Raw genomic sequence first — 25961 nt, 5'->3', positions numbered from 1 at the left:
AGGTGCTGAGGGCATAATTCCTGCAAGAATGGGCTCCATGGGGTTCATTTTCTTTCTTTCCCACATCCTCCACAGTACCTTGTCCCACTCCTATAGGCACACAAAAGAGGAGGGCCTTTCTTCAACTCAAGGCTAATGAGCTGGGCACCAGGGGTTAGGGTGGGGGAACAGTGTGGCCGATGCTTTTCTGGAGTGGTGGCCTGAACAAGCCTGACCTGCTCCTGCCTGCAAGGAGCTGACCACCCAACCAGAGAACACTGGGCAGGCGATCAAGCTGGGTGAGCCAGACAGGGGGATGTGTCTGGGGCCTGGGGAGCCCCACCCATGCACCCTGAGGTCAGGGCTGGCCTTTCACAGGAGGTAGGCTGTGAGCTGTGAGGGTGAGGGGCCAGCCTGGGCCTCCCTCCCAGCTCACCCTCCCCTAGGAGGCCGCCCCCTGCCTGGGTCCCTCCAGCCCCTTCGTTCTCATCCTTATCTGGATCTGAGAATCACCTGGAGAGCTTTGAAAAAAGATCCCAGCTTAATCCTACCCCCAGGTTCTGAGTGTGTGGTCCACAGTGGCATCTGCCTTGGTAATAAAAAGTTCCCAGGTGACTCTAATGAACAACCAGGTAGGGAACCACTGCCCAGCCAGCACTCCTCAGCTGAGGCCACTTGTCCTGTTCTGCTCGTGGGCCGGAAGGGATGGGCTGGAGAATCAGGTAAGTCCTAACTTCGCTGCCCCACAGACTGGGAGCAGGGTCAGAGGGCAGAAGGCTGCCCTGGGAGGCCGACTTCTTAAATGCACACCTGACTGACAGGTACGCTCCTGCTGTGGGGCCAGGCAGGAGAGCAGCACAGGGGCACCCAGGGCCACACACCGAGAAGTGTCCCGAGTGGTGAGCCCAGTGTGGCCTGGCTTCCCATCGGCAGGTGAGGGTCATCTTTCAGGGCTGTTTCACTTCCTCAAAAGAATGCAGTGGAATGAGCTCCATAGGGTGAGGTGCCTGTGTGCGTGGGGATGGAGAGGAGGGCTAGCTGCTGGGATGCCAGAAATGAAGGGAGGCTGGGATCTTCCTGCCTTGGTCCATGTGTAGCTGGAAGGAGAAAGCAGCCGTTGCCTAGGAGACAAAGCTGGAGGGCTTGACTCAGACTATGGACCTCTTGAGGCTTCCTGCCTGGGTGGGGGATCAGCCCAGGAACCCCACGAGGCGATGGGGGATGGGATGGGGACGGTCATATATGCATTTCTATAGAAAAAGAATCTGGCTTTCCAGTGTCTCAAGGGATTCCGGGACCTTACATTTTTTTCGGAGCCCTCAGATGGGAATCCTTGGCCTACAAAGGTGGGAGGCTGTCTTGTGGACAGTAGGGAGAGAGGGTGGTGGAGCGGGTGCTGCAGGGAACAAAGGACACCTGGAGGCATTCCTGGGCATTGGCTTCCTTCCTGGTGGTTGGGCTTTTGTAGAAGGCAGAGTCAGGGAGAGACTGGGGACTTGGTTTCCTCCCAGGGTGCAGGAGGAAGTAAACCTAACAGTGATACCTGGATCAAGAAGGGGCTCCCCTCTAGCCCAGCGCAGCGAGTGGGGGCGCACCAAGGCATCCATGCACAATGTAGCCTTGCCGCTGCCTATGACGGGAAGGTTTGAGGTTGTGAACGTCGGCTAAGGTCCCCGGGGGTTGGCTGTTGGGATGAACGTGGGTTCTAGTATTAACGTGGGTTTTAGTATTATTGAGGGTTGAGTATACCGGGGGCAGGGGGCAGGGGGCAGGAGGCAGGAGGAGCTAAGCAGCAGGGTAGGTGGAGTGGGGAGGGCTATGCCTGACTCCCTCTCCAGGCTGGGAGGGAAAGGCTGGGGGAAGATGGGAGGAGGCCTGGCCACACGCATCTGTACTGTTGGCTCCTTTCCCCAAGGACCCGCAGAGGTGGCCCAGGGTGCTGGGCGCTTCACCCTCCCTCATTGGTCAGGTTCTCTTCGTCCTCCCGCGCCGCGTGTCTGGGGCTGCTGTGGTGCGGGGGCAGAAAAGGAGGGGCCTGCCAGCCTGGTTCTCCAGCCTTTGTGGGCTTCGATTGGTCCTGCCTGGCAGAGTGCTCTTTGCTCAGAGGAGTCACCAGCAGTTGCTGGGAGCGGTAGGATTATGGTCCCTACCTGGGGTTCAGAACAAGAACTTTGCTGTGAACTCCCCTGGTTGAAGCAGAGGGCCAGGAAGCAGAGGGACCTGAATTCCCCACCAGGCGGTCCCTACAGAGTCATGGACCTTCCTTTCTCCCCGCTTCCTCCTGCCCTGTTGTCTCTGCTGAGCAAGGCACGGGGCGGGGGGGCTTCCGCTGGGTGGACTTGAGTTGGCCTAGATTTGAATCTGCTCTTACTGCCGTGGACTCTGGCATGAGACTCTAAGCCTCAGTCTCTCCACCTCTGAGTTGGGAATGATAACAGAATTACTTGATGTTGGTCATGTTGGCTGTTGGTGATGGGCTTGTTAAATCTGGTCGTTGGGGCTGCTCAATATTTGCATTTTCAGAACAGCATGCAGCGAGTAACTAGCGCTCCAGGACAGGACTTCGGAATGTTTCCATTTGTTCCTTCTGATCGTGTCCTTTTCAAATCTGATCTGTAGTTTGTTTCTTGCCTGATATCCTACCTGCTAAGTTTTACATGCCTTTATGTGCGTTTCTTTTTGGACACATTTTATCACCCATGCAGAAAGAAGCTGCTCCAGTCTTCCAGCCGTGGTTAGGAAGTGCCTGCCATTCAGAAGTCAGTTGTAGTTTTCCACATGGTCGGCTGAATAGGAATGAGGCACTTCCCTGTCCCTAAAGAGCTCACAGTGTGGAGGAGAGATGGTATACTTCTGCTTTAGGCTTTGAGACTCTTTGTAAATACAACTTTGATTAAATTTGTTCATGGTGGCTTATTATTTCCAAGGCAAAAACAGTCATTTCAAAAGACTAGACTAGCCTCTTTAAAGTGATTTAGAGTTTATAGTTGTGTTCAAATGCGTTCTAATTACACCCTCCAAACAACAAGCCTCTGTTTTCAGATGGAGAAAACAAAGGATTCAGATTGAAGGACTGCTCAGACACCCTCCGAAGAGGTGGCCCTGCCTGCGCTCCTCCTGGCTGCAGAGTACCCCACCAGCGCGTGAGCCTGTTTCCCTATCCCCTGGTTTTGAGTTTCTGGCCTGATCGTTGCATGCTTGGCTTCACTGCTACTTTGTGAAACTCTTTGCTGAGATTTTAACCTGGGCTCTACTTTCAGGGCACGATGGGATTGAGACACATCTTGGGGGATGGGTAGGCAGGTGAGCAGGTCTGAGGAGGAGGCTGGGTCTGCCTTGACCTGTCCTCTCCCATCTCTACATACTTACCAGTAATCAGTGCTTGATGCTGAAGGTCATACTGAGATGGAGGCTATGGGCAAGAGTTTGAATCTGTGTGGTCTTCTGTGGGTGCTCACTGACCTGCTGTATGTGGATTTCCATGCACCAGACACATGCTCTTAGAATGTGCCTGGCAGCTTGAGCAGGATTGAGGGATCTAGAGCTTTCTTCTGGCTGCTTCCCCCACAATCAAGGAGATTTAGCAAGCAGGTGCAGGGCCAAGTTCAGGGATGTGGGCCACAGGCAGGCCCTTTAAATCCAGTCATCCATTTTGATTCTTCTCTCCTTGTGGTATCTGTCACTTGTCAAAAAAGACTTCATCTTCTGGGGCTGTCATTCTAAGCGTCATTTTGCCATACTGTTAAAATTTTCTGAGTGTTTGCTTGATTTGTGTTTATTGAAACTAAATTCATTAGGATGATGTGAAAATAGCACTCTGCTGTTTACCAAATCGGATTCTTGTTGTTGATATTTCAGTACATCATCTGTTCTCACTTGAATGTCGTGGAATTTGTTGGTAAAGTGCTGTGCAGATGAAAACCCATATTTTAGTGGAGTTTTTTTTATTCAAATAAGTTTATAAGTATTATATACCCAAGGTGCTTGATTTGCCATTTGATGCAGTCTGTACGGATGTGCGAATACTGGTGCTTGGCTTGGGCTTTGAGAGTTTGGGGGTGTGCTGGGAGACAGCTGCAGGGATTAGGACTCTACCAGGTGCTGAGTCAGAGGCTGGTTGGAAATCCTCCTCCTCCAACTCCGCCCCTCGCCAGCTGTTTGACTGCTGCCAAGTCCCCCAACTGTGGGAACCCCAGGCCTTCATCTGTGAAATGGCCATTCCTGTGTTTCTGACAAGGCTGTTGGAAGACTTCATTGAAGACACTGTATTGGTTTTTCAGCACTTTAACATCTCTGGACTCAAGTTGTGTCATAAAATTGATCACAAGCCATAGTTTAATTGACGGCATTTTTTTTTTTCTCCCTTAGTGGTTTATAAAATGATGCTGGTCTAAGGTTTGATGATGTCTTAGACTTGAAGAACATGAACCTGTTTTTGCAAAAGTTTTAGAGTTTGGCATTTTCCAACAAAAAGGCAGTTGCTGGACTTTTGAATTGGTCAACGAAATTCCACTTGTTACCAGAAGATTTACTAGTTGCATTTCTAGAGTTGTTGGCCTCTCTTTTCTGATTTGATTCAGTGGTCAGATCATCCAGGGTTCTTGTGTTCAGAGACCCAGAGTGCTATAATGCTTCCGAAATAAGCCTGACCTAAGACTGAGACAGAAGGTGAGTATGGCAGAGACCACCAGCTGTCCACCAAAGGGCCCTGCTTCCCTTCCACCACCTCAAGTATCTGTCGGAGGCTCCATGATAGTTCCCACATGGAATGTGGGTGGCAATGTGTGTCGCTTCCCGGCAGCACTAATTAAGAAACAAGTGTGCCTTGCTCAGTTTTTCTCCTGTTGACTGTCAGCTGGATGTGGAAAATCCAGCAGAGAATGCCTAGGTGCTAGGGGAGGATTCTGAGTGCCTGAATCACTCTGTGGAGCAGAGTTGCCCATTAGGAACATGAGCCTGATGTTCTTGTGATTTAGAAATCAAATTCTAATGTGTTGAGCTGATACACAATTTTAGGCTTGTTTGTTAAAGCAGACAATGTGAACGTAAGTAGTACAGTGAGTTGGGTAGTTCCAACCCGCCGCTGCCCCCTCCCTGTCCTACACTTGCTTGGGTTAGATAGAAAGCAGCGCCGTCTCCCATTCACCAGCCTAAATGAACCTCATGGCTTCACTTCACTCATTCTTGCTCATTTATTCACTGAGTCCTGTAGATTCTGCCCCTCCCTTCTGCCCTTGTTTGGGGGCCTCACACCTACCCAAATGGCATCCACCTAAACACTTTGGGTTCGGCTAGGTGCCCTTAAAGCCTGATTTTCAAACGTTGGAGAAGTTTAGAAGCAAGTCGGGCTGTAAAATTGCAGCAATGACCTGGCATGGTGTGGCAGCCATGAAGACGCTCCTGATCTTCTGCTTCTGGGAATGTGAGTGACTGGTGGCCCCAGCTGCTACGTTCTGAATCCCGCAGTGGAAATCCAGCATGGCGTTCCCAGACAGCCTGCACTCTGCGGGCTGCTCCCAGCCGGGGACAGCAGGTGAAGACTCCTCCTCCCCAGCCTCCTGCCTTCCCTGCCATCTCATCTGCATCTGCTGTCAGACTTGCGTCTCCCTCTGCCTCCCCGCCTGTCTGCCTCCCCAAGAAGTCTCTTCCAGAGCTGATCGTGTCTTGGCTTCGGTTTTTGGAAGAGCCGAGCCAACACACATCGTATTTGAGATACAGTGGGTCGGAGGCGATACCCAGGGATTTTCTCCAGCTTGGACAGCGAGCCCTTTGCCCTCTCTGGGTGGCAGGGTGCCTCCCTCTAAAATGAGGGGGCGATGCTTGGCAGTTTCTAGAACCTGTTCAGATCAAGGCAACCTGGGAGTTAGAGTTCCGCTAGTCTTGTCTGGCAGTACAGTCGGTCTCTAAATATGCTTTTATTGTACCTTCCCCACCATCTGGGTGAAGCATCAGTAATGAAAATGGAGTGGAGGCTGCATTGACCTTTTCCAGTGTCCACGCACTATATTTTAACTGGGAAGTTGCATGTATTTTCTATACTTAATACTTTAAAAGCTTCTTGGGCCTCTTGAGAGGCTTGTAAGTGCAGCCCACGTGTGACTTGAGCTGGGAACGCAACTTCAGATTGAGAAGTCCCACTTTTATAGGACACAGCATTTAACAGCAGCTGCGTCCAAGTCGTGTGGCATTTGGCAGCGTGTTTCCAAGTGGACCTGTGGTAATCACTTTGCTCTTGGGGAACCGTGGCCAAGGGCTGCCCTGCCTCCAAAGAGGCTCAGCAAGGGAAGGCTAGAAGTCCTGTGGGCTGGCCAGGCATGGTGGCTCACACCTGTAATCCCTGCATTTTTGGGTGGCAGAGGTGCGTGGATCACCTGAGGTCAGGAGTTCGAGACCAGCCTGACCAATATGATGAAACCCCATCTGTACTAAAAATACAAAAATTAGCTGGGCATGGTGGTGTGCGTCTGTAATCCCACCTACTTGGGAGACTGAGGCAGGAGAATCACTTGAACCTGGGAGGCAGAGGTTGCAGTGAGCCGAGATCATGCTATTACACTCCAGCCTGGGCAACAAGAGTGAAACTCTGTCTCAAAAGAAGAAAAAAAAAAAAAAAGAGAGAAATCCTGTGGGCTATACCTGGGGGTTCTTTGCCCTGCTTCCAAGCCCTGTACAGCCAGCATGTTGCACATGTCATTGTCCTGGGGTTTTCTTCCCAGAGGGCCCTTTTCGGTGCAGGGTCCTCTGTTTCATCAGCCTGCGTTAGCACAAACAACCCTGACCGTGTCCTGGACCTCCTTGAGCTCACGGGCAGAGGTTGCTGCTCTGTCGTGTGCTGTTTGCAGACTTGGACTTGGAGTAGTTATTCTCCCTGTGCCTCCAGGGCCTTGGTCCTCACAGGTGTTTCTGTGCTCCTCCTTCCAGAGACAGGCCTCCTGTGAATCGCTCTGAATAAAATGTTCCCAGCTGAGGTTTTGGAGTCTCCTTTGGAAGGTTGTCTTGGTATTGTTTTCAGTCTCTTGTTAGGAAAACCGGACAGGTGGGTCTGATCATCTACAATGAATGTGCACACCACCCCCGGGTTCGGCAGGACACACTGTGCCCCCAGCCCTGGTCATCTTCTGTTTGACCACATTTCTTGGCTGAATTTCAGATCTTCACCTGGAGCACGGGTCTCATGACCTAAGGTCAACCTGTTTGTGGTTCTTTCTGTTTTTTCTTTGAGGTAAAACTTAGAGGAAGTGTTGGGAGGGAAGTGGGGATTGGTGGGGAAGGGGCATGAGGTCAAATGAAATGCATGACCTTAAGTGTGCCATTTGGTTAGTTCTAACACACGCACATACCTGCGTACCCCCCAAAGCCCTACCAAGAGCTACAGTCACTCCGGAAAGTCCCCTTGGGGCCCTGCCAGGCTGTCCCCACCCTCACCTCCCTGATCATCTCAGGCCACCACTGTTTTGGTTTCTTTTCCTTCAACAGAGGTAGTTTTGCCTGTTCTAGAATTTCATGTAATACTACATAATACATGTATGTACATTATACACAGCATATACATGTATACATACAATTTAATATGTATGTATATTATGACACATGTACCTTTTTGCATGAAGCTTTTTTCATGCCACACACATGATGTATTTGAGATTTTTAAGACATTTTGGGCCAGATTATTCTCTTGTTCCTTTTTACTTCTGAGTAGTATTCCACTGAATGACTCGACCGCAGTTTCTTTACCCGCTCACCCATTAATGGACACTTGGGCTGTTTCCAGCTTTTCGCTATTCTGAGCAAGTAGCTATGAACCATTCTCATGCATGTCTTTTTGTGGACATATGATTTCATTTCTCTTGGGTAAGTTCCTAGAAATGGAATTGCTGGGTCATGGAGTAGGTGTATGTTTAGTCTTACAAAGTGGTTATAACATTTTATGCTTCCACTGATCATGTATGGAAGTCAGCTATTTTTTAAACCACCCTACAGAACGTTGGCTTTCTGCTTGGGTGGTGGAGTGGGATGGGAGGGTGAGTGGGTAGGGCCCCCTCCTCTCCCTTGACCCCCACCTCCCTACTAGCAGGATGGGGGCAGGGGTCTGCACCGTTGGCTCTGCTGGGCGTGGGCTGTGGAGTTCACATGCTCTGGAAGATGTAGCTGTGTCCTCTATATTAGGGTGGGGCCTGTTTCTCTTGCTTTTCCTGGCTATTCTGAACAATTCTTGTTCCTTCATTCCTTCCCCCCGCCTCCCAATGTCTCTCCCTTCCCCTGCTTCCTCTTGTCCCCAAAATACCATGCTCTCTGATGAAGCTCCAGGCTAGTAAGTCAAGAATGAAGGTCGTGGCCTTTGGTACCTGGTGTGTTCCTGGTTCTTTCTGACATCTGTGCCCACTGTTTTGCATTCATGACTGACAGAAGTGGACTTTTGGAGCCTACTGATGGTCACATGGTAGCACATGCTGTCCTAGTTTGCTTCCGTGTGAGGATGGACACTTGGCTAAGTAGGTATTCTAGACAGCTGCTCCCAGAGCAGCCTCACCATGAGCTGGGCCACCCCAGAACCCGGCATCTGGGTGTGCTAGCCTCATGGGCCTCAGGAAGCTGCAGCCAGCTCTTCCAAGTCTCTGGGGTCATTACTTTTAGAAGCATGTTTTATAGGGTTACTAGAATGTTCTCTTAAGTGGATTCCATTTTATGTATTTATATCCTACCTCTTTCAGGAAAGTTCTTTGAGGACTCAAAAAATAGGATGCCGTAATAGGGGTTGAGATTGGGGGAGGGCCAAAATTGATTTTAAAATGCAAATACAGCAACCAAAAATTTCACGACAGTTGCTGTAACAGATAACTTAAGTTGGGCAGCTCTCTCTGAGTTTAGGGAGGGATGACGTGTGTCCTTCAGGGAAACAGCTTGCCACAGGGAGGTGCGTATAGGGCATAGTGATGGCTGTAAAGTGCTCTACCACCAACCATGGGCTGCCAACAGATGCCAGGCCTGGGTTCCCACAACTGCTTCTTGTGCTTGAGATTGCTGGAAAGAGTCAGAAGTACAACATGGAGGGATGTTTAGAGGAGGCCATTCCATGTGGGTCCTTCTAGGGATACCCTTTGATTTAGGATCAAATTTACAATACCTCACCAAACACCGAGCCAATTGGTACAGGTCTGTTCTCCCAAAAAATTATTGATCTCAGCTGGGCTTTTGATAGGCGTTTGAGAGAAGATGATTCACATTCTACTTTCTTCCCAGGAACTGACGTGCACGGCTAGCCCCGGTGACCTGCCAGCCTCTCAGATGTGCAGGTGGACAGTGGTTGAGGCAGGCCTGTTGGTTCCAGTGACACAGACATGAGATCAGGGCAGGATTGGGCTTGTTTGGGTTGTTGATGAGCACTGCAAGGGGTGAGGCAGTGATGTCAGTGGTTGCGGGTGAGCAGAGTTGGAGGGGTTGATGGAACATGCAGTTGGACAGAAGTATCTAGAAGGCAGGTGGTAAGGAGCCTCTGGAGTGCCTTTGATTTGAGAGCATGTGCATGGGGCTGAGGCAGAGTTGCCATCCCTCCTTCGTCCGTGCCTACTTCGTGTAACACTCGGCTGTTTCTTGTTTGAACTCCTTGAGGACAAAGTTATGTCTCATTTAATTTCCAGCCTTCCTTACTTAATAGTACCTGGCTTGTTCACAGTTGATGCAGTATTGGGATGGACAGAGTAGAGTAGAGAGAGAGAGAGAGAGAGAGAGAATGTGTGTGTGTATGCACGTGTGTGGTGCAGCAGGCAAGACAGATGGCAGCTGAGAATGGGCTATAGGCTTTGACCATCAGAAGTGCACGCAGCTCTTTTGGATGTGTGTGTATGTGGAAGATGTGAATGTGGTGTGGAAATGTGGAAATAGCTATAGATGTGTATATGTGTGTCTGTATAGCGGGGGGTGGTGATCAGAATAAAAGCTTGATGGCAAGGATCAAATAAGGAATGTTGGCGCCTAGGGGAGCAGATAGTAGCTTCTCTGGGGCCGAGGCCGGGAGGTGCGAGCACATCTGCCCTAACAGGGAAGGAACAAGTACGTGGCTTGTCCTGATTGACGGGCCTGGCCCTGCCATGTATTTCGGTTCATCTGTGGCTTTCTGCCTTTGCCATCCCCATCCTCAGCTGTACCACACGTCAGTTTGTGGGGCCTGGCCTTGCGGATGGCATTTTCTGGTGCTTCCTATCCATACGCTAGGAACGGAGTTCAGCACCCAAGGAAGAGAATTCTAGCCTGAACCCAAAGAGAGAAGCCCCTTAACTCTTGATGTCTTTTAAGTCCCAGTGACTTTTGAGTTTGGCTTTGGTCGTTAAGTTTCATGACTGCCTATTTTTAAGTGGAATTAGAACTTAAGTTACCGAGAATCACAGCGTCTTGCTAGGTAGCATTCCTCTCGACCCTGCCAGGTGAGCTTCTGAGAGGCTAAGTGACTTGCCTGAGGTCACATAGTTGGACAAGGCAGGAAAGCACCAGCAGCTGAACTGGCCCATTGCGAAGTGTGTCCAGCGGGCCTCTCCCAGGCCACCGCTGCACTGCGGTCTAGTGGTACAGGCCAGAGCCCTGGGCTCCTCCTTGCCTTCCCGCAACCTCAGTCCACTCCTGCTTCTTAGGTGGACGGCACTGGCTTTGGCTTGAGACTGGGTTAGGCATGTCATCTATTTGGTTTCTCGAATGCTCAGCCCTGACACTTCTTCCGATGTTCTTAGCATCACCCTTGAACAAACGTTGGTTGGGGATCCGGGGACCGACTTGTTTACACTTCTTCTGATTTGAGTGAAATACCAAGAGGCTGGCAGAGGGACAGCCCCTGAGCTATGGCTCCCTTTCTTAGCCCAGATCTCAAGAGCTTTCTGCTGTTTTTGCTGTCATCTCTGCTGGATGTCGTCTCTGCTACCGAGGTACAGCAGTTAGGAAACATTCGCGTCCCCATCACTCTGGTCACTCTGCTGACTGGTTTTTGGACACTGAGTGTCCCATTCACTCTATCACTGTTGACTGGTTTTGGGACAGTGAGTATGTGACATGCATATGACCCATGCTTAACTCACTCGGAGCCATTATCTGAGCACTATTTGTCAGGTGCTAAGAAGGCAAGCTTCAATTGACTTAAGTTCCAGCGGGGATGTTTGCTTTTTATGAAAATGATGCTTAGTACCTCCTTACTAAGACAATGGCAGAATAGACCAGACTGTTGTCTTCAGAGATTCCCAAACACCGGATATTGACAAGGTTTGCTTTCCTAAAGTTGAGAAGAGGGCTGAAATATAAGGCTTATATCTGTCTCTCTGAGCATTTTAGAAGAAAGATATATCTAAGCTCTGTGTTTAAATATAGCATGGTGTTTGCTACTCGGATGGCAAATAAGCAATTGAATATGTAGGTCATTGACTTATGAGAATGAGTTTGGAGGTTTTTTTGCATGTGATTAACGCTGTCTTACGATTGGGCTGTTGATGCTCCGCCAACATTGGGTTACACAGAGTTCAGCAAGCCATCTGGGAAGAAAACTGGAAGAATCATGAGAGGATACCTCTGTCCCCTTAAGGTGTTAGGAGTGTGACTTGGTGTTGAGCCCTGTGGCTACAGCCAGTGGCAGTGGCACCAACCGCTCCCAAGTTACACTGGGGAGAAACACATCTGAGTGCCGTGCGTCTGTACATATCTATCAGGAGGGAGGGGGCAGAGGGCGATACTTCATCGAGATAAATGCCAGCGGTGTATTTTAATACATTCTTGATTCAGAAGGCACTGTTTGGAATTGCATATTTAAAAGGAAACTGCCATCCCCTTTTGAAGGTATGTGACATTTAAAAGATCTGTAGCAGAAGATTGGTTTGACAGCTTTGAATTATAATTGAAAGAGTTTTTGTTTTAAAAAAGAAAATGATTACTTCTATTTTAAATGTCATCACAAAGACATAAATATGTTTAATCAAATTATATATTTAATGTATGTAGAATATAATTTTTGTTTGTGTGGAAGAGTCACTGGTTTGTGTGTGTTTTAAGCAGCTTTAAAGCTAAGCAATGTTGATGATTTGAAAGTGATTCAGCTTTTTTGGTAAATGACTGTTTAAGGGTTTATAGAATTTCAAAAAATAGTATTATTAAAATCTGCTTATTTTTTATCTATACACGTGTACCTAGTGGCACATTTTGGGAGATGGAGGTACTTTTATTGTTGCTGACAGATAGTAAATTGTCGAATGAACTGAAAAAACGTGGAACCTTGAAGATAATAAAGGCGGAAACAGCAAAGACGCTCCTGCAGTTTTCTTTTGGATTCTTTGAACCAGCGGGGAGTTACCGGGAGTGCTAGCGTCGAGTATGCCAGCCCTTCCTAAAAGGGAGGCAGCAGGGGAGGCCCAGGAAAAGACACAGAGTGCCACAAAGACCTTTCGGGTGATACAAAAGGCTGGTGTGGCATTTGAGGGCACCAGCAAGGTCCCCAGGCTCGAGAAGCAGGGGCGTAGCTCTGGGTCTCCCCTGACCCTGGCTATCTGCTAGCACACTCCAGCTCTAGAACTTTCTTTGAGCAAGCTGGGTGTTGGAAGCCGGCCAGCCCAGCGTACAACTGTGTATGTCAGCTGGGGACAGTCTTGGCCTGTTCCAGCCTGCTCTGTAGTTTCGATTTAGCCAGACTGGGTCAGGGAGTCCTGAAGTTGTTACCCACCAGAGAGGCACTTGCCCAGCACAGAGCTGCCCCGGGGGCTGGTTTTCTCTGCTGGTCTGTCCTCCAGGGCTGCTCTGTCAGGGAACGTGCCCTCTGTTGGGTGTGGCCCTGGGAGGCCTGGGCAGCTGGCAGCACCTGGGAGAGAACAATGAGTCAGTCATGCCCGCTCCCAGGAAAGAATTGACGTAGCACGAGCATCTCTGCCAGCTCCAGTGAGAGAAGGTCAGGGTTCAGGAATTGTGAGCTCTGGCTTCTCGAGAGACAGGATGCACCCCGGGGCCCCTGGGGAGCCGGAGGACACAGATCCCAGTTGAGTGCGTAAGCAGTGTCAACAGGGCCAGCTCCTCATGGCCCCTCCTTGTAAGCGCTGATCCCCTAAAGAAAGGAATTGCCCTACTTAGTGCCCAGCATGAGCTAAACCACATAAACCAAAAAATGACAAATCTGTTATTTTAAAAATTAAACTTATTTTGAAGTAATTGCAGATTCACATACAGAATGAATTCACAGGGTAGGAGAAGGTAATACAGGAGGTCCCTTAAACCCTTTCCCTGGTGCCCTCCAGTTGTAACATTGTGCAGAGTTCTGGTAACAGCAACACAGCGGAGAAATTGACGTGGATAGAATCCATGGATACTATTCAGAAATCCCTAGTGTAACATGCACTCATTTGGCTGTGTATTTAGTCTGTGCAATTTTAGCACGGGTAGGTCTCTATTTGTACCAGCCCAAGAATCCCCCCGTTGCCCTTTTATAGTCATATCCACTTGAGGTGGCCAGGACGGTCCCCAGCTGAAGCACATGGTCGACACACATGGGTAGACACAGCTGACCAGCTTCTAAGACCCAGTTTGCTCAAAGAAAGTTCTGGAGTTGGCGTGTCCTACCTACTTCCTGGTCTCTAAGCCTGGCAACCACTAATCCGTTCACCATCTCTCCAGTGTCATTTAAGAATGTTATATAAATGGAACCTTACAGCATTGCCGCCTTTGAGGATTGGGATTTTTCACTTGGCTTAATTCCCTTTGAGATTCATTCAAGTTGTTGTATGTATGGCTGGTTGGTTTCTGTGTATTGACTGGAAGATTTTTGACCCAGCCTTAGACCAGAACACTGCGGAAGAGGAAATCCATCATGGAAACCCGAGAGTGACAGGACCCTTGCTTGGTGACAAGTAGAGCTGGTCATGTCGACAGCCCCCTCTTACCTCGTCGCGTCTCAGCAGATGTCCATGGGGTCGTATTGGGAGTGACTTTTGTACCAGTTGGCTTGGCTGATTTTGGAAAGAGTGGAAGAACCCCCTTCACCTTGTGAGTTTTGTTCATCTGTGTTGCATGTGTTTGCACAGTGTACATTGACTGAAACATGAAGAAACAGCCCTTGGGCTTTTGAGTCTCGGTTTTCTTTCTTGGCGCTCATGCTCTCAGAATAATAATACGTGTGGTGCAGGCCCGGTGCACCAGGCAAGTGAGGGCTGTGCTGGCATGGTTTCTTTAGGAGGAAGGCCTGTTGCACCTATGTGGCTTTGGCATGCTTCAGTGAAAACTGTAAAATTACAAGTCCCAAGAATCTAATCTCACAGTGAAAATGTTGAGTTGTTCATTCAGAAAGCACGCTTGCCCTGCATTTTGAACATACATACTTGTGTGTATTTATATGTTCATCATGTGAGAACAGCATTTGTGAATTGCTACCCTCATGAACATCCATGCTGAAAGGTTGTCCATTCTTTCCAAACTGCAGAAATGCGGCTGAGCAGTTACATACGTGTGTAAGTTAGTTCAGGATTCCCAGTGTTAGTGACTTGATGCGCATGAATCAATAGATAATATTTCTATGTCCTTTAGGGGCTCTGCAGTTATTTTTTTTCCTGAATCAAGACTAAAGCCAGCCCTGCTGCTGATTGTAGGCAAGTGCCCTTTGCTTTTTGGGGAGCCAGGACTGGAAGGTCTCTTGGTTCACAGGCCTGGGTTAGGGTGGGCCGCAGGTTGGTCTGGAGTTTGGCTTTTCTCTCCCATCCCAGATTCCCCTGGTAAGAGGCTGCGTCACCTGCATCGAGGACCATCAGAGTTGGGTGGTCGGAACTCACTTTGGCTGAATGTGAAGGGGCTGCTGTTTGGGAGGTTTCACCTCCGTGATGTGTTTCTTGAGCCTGGGTGACAGCGTGGTGTGGCGCAAGGTGGAAAGGAGTTTGTTGCTGATGGTCTGGGGGACGCAGGCCTTTTTCCCCATTTCTAGATGTTGTTGTATTCGTTTGGCACTGTGATTAATTCTTAAAAATAGAATGAGTTGCTTCTAGAGGGAATATATTTTGGACCCGGGAATTCAGTTCTGTCTTTGGGTGCTTCCTTCATGGCTGTGTTTGCAGAGTTTCTTCATATGCTATTTTCTGTGATATACATAGCCTTGAAATGGATTTTTTAAAGTACAGAGTCTGAAAAGTGAGTAGTTTGTACATGGTGGGTTTAGCTGCTGCTCCATTCCACAGCAAGGATACTCTTCATTTTCAATTGAAATCTCCCCCAACCTTGAGGTTTGGGTTCATAATTCAGTTTAAAATTAAATAGAACCCGGTTTCCTTCAGGCCTCTTTTCTTTCCAGGACTGTGGATTCTCGAATTCACCAAGCCGTGTGAGTAAAGCATTTGGTATATGATACAGCTAACACTTGGGTGCCTCTGGCGTGCCAGGCGCCACGCTGAGCGCTGTGCATTGGTATTGCCTGTGCTTCCCGCTGTGGCCCCATGAGGGAGGTACAGGTGACCACACCTGGGCTCCTGGGGGAAGAAGAGAAAGCAGAGGGAGAGAACACTCTCCTGGGGTGACTCACAGCCTCACCCAAGGGCTCCTTACCATTTGGTTGGTCTCTGAGCTTTGCAGGATAAAACTTGGATTCTGTCTCTGCTCTCATGGATCTGCCCATCTAAACCAGTTACAGAACAGGCAGCCCATTTATGTAATGCCTTTTGCAATAGATAAAGGGTTGAGGGTGAGGTCATTGTCAGGGGAAGGCAATGTGAGAGAGTCAGGGTCAAGGAACCGATATCTGGCCACCTTAATTTTACTAACTTCACTTTCCCAGTCAGTATTGCACATGTAGTCCATTGATCAATAGTGTTGACATGGGCAGGGCAATTAGCTGGGCTTGGGGGCCCGTGCCTGTACAGGAGGCTGAGCCCAGAAGAATACTTGAGCCCGAGAGGTAGAGGCTGTAGTGAACTATGATCATGCCACTGCACTCCAGCCTGAGAGACAGAGTGAGACCCTTTCTCTAAAGAAATGTTGTTGGCTGGTGGCTCACAACTGTAATCCCAGAACATTGGGAGGCCAAGGCGGGCAGATCACCTGAGTTCAGGAGTTTGAGAGCAGCCTGGCCAACGTGGCGAAACCCTGTCTCTGCAGAAAATAGAAAAATTAGCTGGGCGTGGTGGTGCATGCCTATAATCCCAGCTACTCAGGAGGCTGAGGCAAGAGAATCACTTGAACCTGGGAGGTGCAAGTTGCAGTAAGCCGAGATTGCACCACTGCACTCCAACCTGGGCAACAGGGTGAGACTCCGTCTCAAAAAAGAAAAAAAGAAATGGTGTTGATATGTAAAGCTGGTCACGCTTGTAAGTAATTTTTCAGGGACTGTGGACTTTGAGCCATTTGGTTCTCACTTCATTTGTTTTTAAATGCCACTTCCTGCTCATCTTCCTGCTCATCCTGCTGGAGTCTAATCTGTGGTCAAGGACTTGGCTGGAGCCCACTGGGAAGTCTCCTTTGGCTGAGCCCTGACAAGGCTTTGGCTGTGCCTCTTTCCCGGCATCAGTCGGGGTCCTAGATCCTCGCTGGGGCAAGGGATTCTCGCTGTGTCTCTCCAGCCCACCAATTCTCTCCCAGGTTGATTGGCTATTGGAATTGAGACATCTGCATTGAAATCCCCAAGAGAACATCCTTTTCTGTATCGAACTTGCATGAGGGTGGAGGGACACTTGGCTTTTTTCAAAACCCACCTTTGTAGTACAGCAGCCACGCAGGGACTTACATCCTAAATGGGGCCACTTTACAATGTTGGTGTGGCCCGAAAACCTGCAAGGCAAAGCAGCCCAGGCAGCAGCTCACTTTCTGCACCCCAGCTTCAGAGCCCTCCTGACAGGAGCTCACAGCTCACATTTTTCCATATTATAGGAAATCATGCTCTTTGCAGAAAATAGAAAAATACAGGAAAGTATAAGAAATAAGTAAATGATAGTTATGTTACACATTGTAAAAATCCTTTTTAATCTTAGCATGGAGAATAACACTTTGGATCTATTCTGTCTCTTATGCATATACGTATATACTAAAAATGAGATTCACTGAAGAATGTTTTAAAATATGTGAGATTTGAATACATGTTTCATAGTTTATTTTCCATTTGACCTATAAGTATTTTTCCTATGTCTTTGAAGTATTTTGAAATACTTTTAGTAAATACATAATTGTTGAGATGGATAGTGTCTGACATATCCCTGTACAGCTCTATCAGGAGAAAATTTATCCTACTCTGGTTTCCAGCATGGTCTGGTACATCTTGACCACTTTTCTAAGGATTCCCTAGGGGGAGAGTGGAGTGGGGCATGGAATCTCAAGTTTACAGAAAAGATGCCCACTCCTTCCACCGCAGTGGGAGTGGGGGTCACACCCTCGCTGACTCCTCAGAGCAGCCAGCATCCTGCTTTTGGTCAGGGGATCTTGCATTAAAACCTGCCAGCTTTAGAGGTTCCATCTCTCGCTGTGGTATGGGTGTGTGCTCTGAATGTCTGAAGACCCCTCTGCTCACCTTCTGGCCCTGTGTAGGGCCTATAGTAAATATATAGTCTGGCCCTTGTTAGATCAGGTGTCCTTGGGATACCCTGTGGAAAGGAGCTCAGAAAACCCCTCTTGGTCACCCTATCAGGGAGAAAGCAAGACCGGAGCCTGACACCAGGATGCCCCAGCTGGTTAGTAGTGGCCACCAGTTGGAGTGAGCCATCTCCTATGTCCGCTCCTTCTGGCAGGTTCCTGACCATCTCACAGGGGTGTGTGCACCTCCACCAGCAGCCGCCTTGTCCACTTACAGTGTGGAACCATGGAAGACTAGAGACGGATACCTTCAAGTGCTTCTGAGTTGGGATGTGTTTTCTACTTGTCTTTCGGAGCTGCGCGCCTTTGCGGGGACCTCAGGGCCAGGCTTCCCTCTGAGCCAGGCTGATTTTAAGCGTTCCCCATCCCCCCCTCCCACCCCCCAGCGCCTCCACTGCACTGGTCTCTTTCAAGTTCAGGTGATTTCCTGGCTTGTCTGTAAGTAGGACTGTCGTGCCCCACTCAGGTACAGGTGTGTGGGGGTGCAGCCAGGCCCCATGAGCCTCAGGTCCAGTTGCTCACACCGGCTGCCTCTGCTTCCATGGCCCACGGGCAGCTTTGGGTGTGGGAATGCAGCTTGAATTCACAAAATGACGTCGTTGTGTGGGCTGCTTGCTCGTGGATCCACTTTTCTTCCCCCCTTTCAAAACTTGGCCCATGGCAGCCCCGATCAGCAGCACCCGTTTATCAATTTGTTCCTTGTTCCTTTCTCCAGTTGTTGCCAGGACTCCCATCTGGCATTCTCCCATCTCACGCCCTTGTTTATTTCTCCGTCCTGGAGCCACTTCGGATGGGGCACTTCTAGAAGCCTAGCTAATGCCGCAAGGGCTTCAAGTTCCTCCTTGTCACCCAGCTCGTCTCAAGTCCGTTGGCCCTGTCATCTAGAAAAGCTGAAAGCTGAAAGAGCAGGGGAATGGTCACATTAATTGACTACATCTGAGACAACACTGGAAACATATCCTATTTTATTTTTCTTTAAAAAGTGGCAGGATTCCAAGACTTCCCTTCCAGTTTTCCACTGGTTGGCCTTCTATTGGAAGACGAGTTCTAAAATCTTGGCTGTTGGGCCTTTTTACATTCTTAAAACCAGCTGAATATATTTAATATTGTAAAATTTCCATAAACACTCTCTGACAAAGACTGTGTATGTAAAGTTTCTGCCTAGAGGGCATTTTTCTTCTCAGAGTTGAGACTCTTGGGCATCAGGGGGTCATAATGAAGTGTTGATTTCACCTGAAGTGCCTCTGTGCCAACGTGGCTGTATAGGGACATGGAAAGAATTAGCTTTCGGGGTTGTTGTTTTTTCCTTCCCTGAATAAAGGATAATTGTTTCCAAGCTAATTAATATGGTTTATTTATTACTAGGCAATAGTTGGTGGAATTGAATCTCGGGAAGGAATAATCCAGCAATGCTAAAGTGACAACCTCTCGGGTACACCCTGTTCATTCCTGTCCAGTGTGTATCTGACACTCAGCCCTTTGGTAGACGTTGTCATTTTATTGTATTTCTTTTCCCCATGTGCCAACCAAACTTGGACTCCACACTGCTTCATGCCCAGTGAGCTTGGCCTTTCTCAGGGTGGGTTTGTCCTTAAAGGCTGGCCAGGCGCGTAATTAATATGGTGGGCTTGGGGGGTGCCGTCCCAGGCAACGTTGAGCTGTGCTGTCATGGTAGCAGCCTGAAGTCCTTGTTAGAGGGCATGGGTCACACGTGTACCCCACTGTGTGGTGCTCGGTGGCAGAGTTGAGAAGTGAGGAGAGGTGGCATCTCCCACTGCCGTTTGCTCAGGGATGCCTGTCTTTACCCCCAGCAGCCCCCAGGACTGCACATGACCTCTTCCTGCAGAGCCAGCTGGCGGCCATCCCAGTGCCACCCCCCACTGCCCCCGTTACAATGCGTTGTACTGCGCGTCCTCACTGCAACTGAAGAGAGTCGGGGCAGAGGAGGGTTGGGAAGGCCAGGGAGCGGGATGTCGCCTTGTGGGAGAGCACAGGTGTGGCCCGTGTTCACACACAGGTGGCCAGAGACTGCACTGAGGGTGGCTGGGGGTGTGTGAACCAGGAGCCACTGTGGTACGCAGGAAAGGAGGCGGGCAGCTGAGTGCCTGTCCCTGGTCCTTCAGGGAACCCATGGGTCCTCTGGGCTGCTTCTCATGGCCTCGAGTCAAGGGCCACCATCCTGCCTCATGCTGCTGTAGGCAGGTCAGTTTTGGGGCAGAGCATTTGGCTTCTTGACAAGATTTTGCCCGAGGCTTTTCCTTGACCGCTGCCCTTGAACTTGAAATCGTTGGGAGGATCTGCTATGGGATGTGTGGGGAAAGCCCCTGGCACCACTTTCCATGCCATCCGCTCAGGGACTGGGAAACAGCTACATGTCTTCCTTGTGGTCCTACCATTGAGAGTCCTCCCCTTCCCACATACTGACTGATACCCCGAGGCAGTGCCGTGGTGCTCTAGGGAGTGTCAGGCTAGGAGAGGGGGCTTGCCCTGGGGTATCTGAGCTGTGTCTGGATGCCTCCGAGGGGTGGGCGTGATCCCCAGGGCTGTGGCTTTAGCTCGGCTTCTGATACAGCTCGGCTTCTGTGGGTCCCACTTTTAGCACCCCCATGGTAAGTCACCCCTTCTGAAGGGGGCCAGAGTGTTGGGAGGAGGGGCAGAGTGTGGGGAGAAGGGTGGGACATTTCCTGGGTACCCATGTGACGGGCCCATTTTGAGAAGGCCGTCAGCATGGGTGCCGAGGGAGTGTCTGTGAGGCAGAGGGCGTTCACTCGTCCTAACAGACACCATGCTTCCAGAAACCTCAGGCCAGCTGTGGGGCACTGTGACCTGCACACTACCCGTCTCTACGTGAGGCGTGGGTACAGGCCTTGGCCCCAGAGTTTGCTTGGGACCTTGTGGCACAGTCATTCGGTGGTTTGGGCAACAGTGGGGCGGGGGCTGAGTGCTGGGTTCGGGCCTGGAGTCGGTGGCCCCTCCTGAGTCCCTGGGGCAGGGACCAGGTTTCTGTTTTGCTCCTGTGCCTCTGGGGCTTGGCACAGTCCTGGCACTGAGTAGGTGCTCAGGAAATCCCTGTTGAAAGGATCCAGGAGTTTGAGGTCATAGTTGATGTTGCATCTAGTCCAGAGAGGTCTCTGAGGAAGCCTGGATGTTTGTGGTGGGCAGGGGTGTGGAGTATAGGGGGCGAAGACTGTAGACTACTCTGACCTGCTACCATGCCCTGTGCTTGGGGCAGAAGTGCAGAATTCTGGATGGTTCTTTACGCAATCCCTCTTTTCTGAGCACAGCCATACCACAGGATGGCAGTGAGGCCACCTTTCAAGGGAGGGGAACGCTTGGGATGCCTAACCATTAACCATCAATGACCTGATTAGGACTATTGGATTCTTGTGCTGAATGTCAACTGTTTATCTCATGAGTTAGGCAGAGATGAGTTTCTTAGAAGAGGTGGATAACGGCCTCAGCCTGGAGACATGTCTGGAGTCTGATGATGACACACAGTTATTGAGTGCTTGCTGTATGCAGGCCTTGGGACGAACCTTCCATGGGTTCTCTCTTTCAAAGGGCCTGACCACCTGTGAAGGTAGATGCTGTTACCTCCAAATCACAGGCAGGATACTACTTCTCAGCCACCGATGCTGGCCTGCGGAACTTGGGATTAATTCTTGCTAACTCCTTGTTCTTTCCCTTGTCCCTTCCCAGAGTCCATTACCTGTGGGAAACTTTTGATCGCCTAAGGGATGGTTTTGTGGACACATTCCAGTTTTCTCTTTTTAGCAGTAAACGTGAACGGTGCTTCCTGGAGTGTGAGGAACACAGCGCACAGTGGTGCTCCGTTCAGCCAGACCCGTGGAAACCATGAGTCAGTTTCAGATAAGGCTTTCCAGGGTGCAAGGGCCCCTTTAGGATCAGTCTTTCTTCTCCCCTAATATATGCCCACGCTGAGCTGAAGTTCTGCTCTCTGGCTGGTGTGACCCAGCCGCAGGGCCAGCCTCAAGAGGAGGCAGCAGGAGGTGCCCCACCTTGAAGCAGGGGTGATGAATCCTTCGCCATCCACGGCGGGACAGTAGTAGGAGGAGGAGCCTAGACAGCCAAAATGTGAGTTCAAGCAGAAAGCCTCAAGTCCTAACGAGAGCTGGCACATGTGAGCTTCAGATGGCAGAAATATCACTAGAAATCCCTCCTGCAGAGAAAGCGTAGGTAAGCGGGCACTTGGTTAGATGAATGCTGCTCACAGCAGGCGGCATGGGGGGGCCAGGCCAGGTTGAGCTGCTCGCCTGGCCTCTGTTATCTCTGCATTTGGGTGGGTGGGTGGGCACCCCTTCCATGCCATGCAGAGTACAGAAGCTGTTCTGAAAGAACGCTATGAGTTCAAGTGAAGGCAGGCCCAGTCCTCCTGGAAGGAGCCACACCAGAGTTTCTCAGACGCCCCCATCAAGACCTTTTTAGGGCTCATTGAAGGCTTCTAAAGGTTCTAGTCTCATTTAGTTTCTAAGAAAAGGATTTATTCACTACAGACCTAAAACGTAATTTTTGTATGCCTGACTTAGTATAAGAACAAAACACCCAAGCAGTGGCGGTGGGGTAGGGGGTCCTGTCTAGGTACTGCAGCCTCAGTTGTGAGTTTCCTATATGTGGAAGGTGCAGGAACTAGCTGACCACAGTCTGGTTGGGACTCCCACCCCCAAATCCATCTCTGGGTGCTGCGGTTCTCTTCTGGGATGTGTGAGAGTACACACCCCCCTGTCATCAGCTGTAGGCAGATCACATTTGCCGCGGGATGTTTAATAAGTTCACGCAGGTTGATGGTACAGGCCAGAAATAGGACCCCTGTCTGGCCCGAAGCAGCCACGTGAACTTGGAGGGGGTGGGCATGCTGACCGGCAGTTACACGCTGAGGCCACTTCAGCTCCTGCGGTTGCTGGTTCAGAAGTAGTGGTGATTTTAATCAGCTAAGTCATTTCTGCGTCTCGTTGTATACTCCTGGAAGTTCTTAGAGAAATCCTGCCAAGAAAATATCCCCTGGTGAATCCTCGGGGCACTAGTCCACGCCGCACTGTCAGCAAGTATCTGCTGAAACAAGTATTTTTGAATCTTTAGCTTTTCTGTAGCTCCAGTCTTTTTAAAGTACTTCTTTTGACCTTCAAGTAACAACGAGCACTTGCTTTAAAATTCTGACAGTCTTCCAAGCCTTTTAACATTCTTATTCCACTAAATAAGCTGTCGCCGTTCACTGGGACAGGCAGCACAGTTGCTTGAACGCCCGGCTTGAAATTCCACGAAATGTCACCTCCTCTGTGAAGCCTTCTACAAGGCAGACTTGTCTATTTCCTACTTAATTTTACTATGAAATATCTCAAATTAGAACCTGTACCCACCATCAAGATTAGGTAGATGTTAACATGTTGCTACGTTTGTCTTCAGACATTGTTCAAAAACAAGTAATGTTATAGTCATTGCTAAGGTGCACCTCCCCAGTTCCTTTTCCATCCCTCCTTCCTTTCCAAAAGGGACTACTTCCTGAAAATAGATACAATCCCTTTATATTTTTGGAAATTCTGTGTAAACCATTGGAAATGGAAGGAGAAAGCCTGTGACATACGAAGACAAGCAACACTAATCAGGAGTATAAATTCTGTTTTGCAGTTAATTAAATATTTGATTCCCTACTATGTTTCAAAGATAAATAAAATGTGATTAAGTAAAAGGCATTTAACCTTTAGAGACTTGGAGATGGGCAGGGTATATAGTAGCCTGCCAGCTAGAGTAGGGAAGATGTTAAAGAAGATAACCTGTGAGATGGGTTTTGAAGGGTGGATAGGAGTTTGCCAGGCAAGCTCTGCCACCTCAAAAAAATAGTTCCTTGGCTGTTAGATGCTTGTGTCACTATAGGCTTGGGATTACTGAAAAGCTATGCTTGTCCCTCCCTTCCTAACACTTCTGAGGCTGGAATGTCTGTCTCCCATCTACTTCCTTAAGAGGTGTGGGTTACAGTGTGGTGTACAGTTGGGAGTGAATTACTACTTGACCTTGGGTACATGATAACCTTGACTGTAGAGTCCATGCTTTTCCTGAGTAGTTCTTCAGAGTCCTTCCTGCCAGTGACTTGGTTCTAGGTGTGGAGCAGGAGCTGGCTGTCGGAGGACTCATTGAATTCAGTGGAAACAGCAGGGAGCATGGTTTTCTTTTGAATGGAAACCATGAGTGTAGCAGTTCTTCTTTATGACTTGCTACATAATCATGCAGGAAAATGCCTGTCACGGGATTGGATCCTAGGAGATTAGCCCCATTGCTAATTAAAAGCCCCATTAAAAGAGGGGAAGTTCTTTTAGGTATCTACAGCTTCCTAAGATTTGAATGGTTTACAAAGCAGAATGTTGGCTGGGCATGGTGGCTCATGCCTGTATCCCAGCACTTTGGGAGGCCAAGGCAGACAGATCAGAAGGTCAGGAGTTTGATACCAGCCTGACCAACATGGTGAAACCTCGTCTATACTAAAAATACAAAAATTATCCGGGCATGGTGGCATGCGCCTGTAATCCCAGCTACTAGGGAGGCTGGGGCAGGAGAATCCCTTGGACCTGGGAGGCGGAGGTTGCAGTGAGCCGAGACGGCGCCATTGCACTCCAGCCTGGGTGACAGAGTGAGACTACGTCTCAAAAAAAAAAAAAAAACGAAAAAGGTAGAATGATGGCTGGGCGCGGTGGCTCACGCCTGTAATCCCAGCACTTTGGGAGGCCCAGGCCAGTGGATCACTTGAGGTCAGAAGTTCAAGACCAGCCTGACCAACGTGGTGAAACCCCATCTCTACTAAAAATACAAAAATTAGCCAGGTGTGGTGGCAGGCGCCTGTAGTCCCAGCTATTCAGGAGGCCGAGGCAGGAGAATTGCCTGAACTCAGGAGGCGGAGCTTGCAGTGAGCCGAGATCGCGCCATTGCACTCCAGCCTGGGTGACAGAGTGAGACTCTTTCTCCCAAAAAAAAAAAAAAAAAAAAAGTCAAATGCAGCTGGGAATGTGGTTCGTGCCTTTTTGTATATTAACCATTTGAAACTTGGTTGTAAGGTGGGGTTGGCAATGTCAGGCCTGGCTGCAGCAGCTCATGTCTTTAGAGTGTGCCTCTTCCCTCTCTCGTGGGGCTCGAGCAAGACTACCTTCATACATGGGCTCTCCAGTTACATAGCAACTCCAGTGTTAAATTCCATCTTTTCTTCCTGGAAAAGCCGTAGAAAGGACACCTGGACATGCCTGCTGCACAGGTTGTCTGCCTTCCCCATCAGCCGCAGAAGGAGGAACTTTGCTCTCTTCTCTCACAGCTGTGTGTGCATAGGAAGTAGTTCGGATGATGTGGGTCCCACCATGTATTCCTTCTCTGTTCCATGTAGAGTAAAATAAATGGGAGTTCTGTTTAATGCATCACCTCGGTTCATATTGCATTTGCCAAGAAAGTGCAATTTTATTGAACATTAGGATTGAATTCTTAACTGAGTAATCAATTTCAGTAGTAAGTTAAAATGCCTTCTATTAATGGACAACTGCAACCGTTAATCAGAGTTACAGTAGATTAACAGTTGTCAGCATTTATGCTAATAGCACTTATAAACCGTGGGCTCATGATTTGCACTTTATAATTCCATATTTCTCAAAACAGTTGGTAATACTTTTTGCTTGAAGGTATTGATTCTTTTGTCCCTTTGCTTGCTACTTGGAGATGTAGAGAAAGCTAAATGACATTTTCACGGTGATGACACAATATCACCTTCTGCTTTTGCACACTTGGCTTTGTGTCAAAATAGATGGAAAGGGTTCATTTGTTCTGGTGCTCTACTGTTTAATTTGATCTGGTGTGTGACTAAAGCAAGACAAATAGTATTTTTAATGAAACCATTTAATAACCTCTGGTAGCTTAGAGTCGAAGGCATTGGAAAAATGCAATTAAAGGATGCCTAGATGTAAACAAAAAAAAAAAATCTCTACTTCATCTTCACTGACTCCATTCATTTTGCTTTCAGGGTTTCATCACCTTAAATGGTTTTGAACCAATGAAGGTGTATTCCCTTAAAAAGACGGACAGCCCATCGTGTGAACTATAGAGTTTGTGGACAGATTTATATTGGTGAGTTATTGTGAAATATCTCCAGGTAAAAGTTCAGTTTTCTAGAATCCCCTTTGCAATGTGTGTTCAATTAGTTGATGAGTATGGATTGCCTGCAGCCTCTGGCTGTTTCATTGGGATGTCTAATCGTGGGATCATATTGATTGTCTTTCAATTAATTGCATCTAGTATTTTCATTTATCAAAAGCAAAATACATGTAATTAACTCTGAAGCAATATAGTTCAGTGTAAAGTGATTTTTGCTGCTGCTGCTGCTATAGAGATAAGTCAACGGAAATTATGCTACAAGGAAACTCAAGTCAGAATGGAAATAGTGT

At 48.9% G+C, this 25961-nt stretch overlaps 1 protein-coding gene across 26 annotated transcripts in view, besides 3 other annotated features; it reads left to right on the top strand.

Annotated features, from left to right (window-relative positions):
• Nucleotides 1–25961, top strand: part of CTBP2 (C-terminal binding protein 2) — a 178147-nt gene that overhangs the window by 25830 nt on the left and 126356 nt on the right. For 13 of the 26 annotated variants that reach the window (XM_047424671.1, NM_001083914.3, NM_001329.4 and 10 more), the window contains exon 2: nucleotides 25541–25644. The exons of 5 other annotated variants lie outside the window; for them this stretch is intronic. The gene's annotated coding sequence lies outside the window, so the exon portion shown is untranslated. Of the gene's footprint in view, nucleotides 1–3021; nucleotides 3123–13765; nucleotides 13978–25540; nucleotides 25670–25961 lie in introns of all 26 variants that reach the window. 8 more of the 26 variants (NM_001290214.3, XM_047424665.1, NM_001321014.2 and 5 more) reach the window with 4 other exon arrangements.
• Nucleotides 193–790: an enhancer, noted in NCBI's record as "H3K4me1 hESC enhancer chr10:126824413-126825010 (GRCh37/hg19 assembly coordinates)". NCBI's record gives its function as "activates a minimal SCP1, AML or CMV promoter by ChIP-STARR-seq in naive H9 embryonic stem cells {active_cell/tissue: H9 hESC(naive)}" and the evidence as "EXISTENCE:reporter gene assay evidence [ECO:0000049][PMID:30033119]".
• Nucleotides 18884–19709: an enhancer, noted in NCBI's record as "H3K27ac-H3K4me1 hESC enhancer chr10:126805494-126806319 (GRCh37/hg19 assembly coordinates)". NCBI's record gives its function as "activates a minimal SCP1, AML or CMV promoter by ChIP-STARR-seq in primed H9 embryonic stem cells {active_cell/tissue: H9 hESC(primed)}" and the evidence as "EXISTENCE:reporter gene assay evidence [ECO:0000049][PMID:30033119]".
• Nucleotides 23663–24162: an enhancer, noted in NCBI's record as "H3K4me1 hESC enhancer chr10:126801041-126801540 (GRCh37/hg19 assembly coordinates)". NCBI's record gives its function as "activates a minimal SCP1, AML or CMV promoter by ChIP-STARR-seq in naive H9 embryonic stem cells {active_cell/tissue: H9 hESC(naive)}" and the evidence as "EXISTENCE:reporter gene assay evidence [ECO:0000049][PMID:30033119]".

Source organism: Homo sapiens, chromosome 10 (genome assembly GCF_000001405.40).
Source record: "Homo sapiens chromosome 10, GRCh38.p14 Primary Assembly".
Lineage (NCBI taxonomy): Eukaryota > Metazoa > Chordata > Mammalia > Primates > Hominidae > Homo > Homo sapiens.
This window is presented reverse-complemented; position numbering and strand designations above follow the sequence as displayed.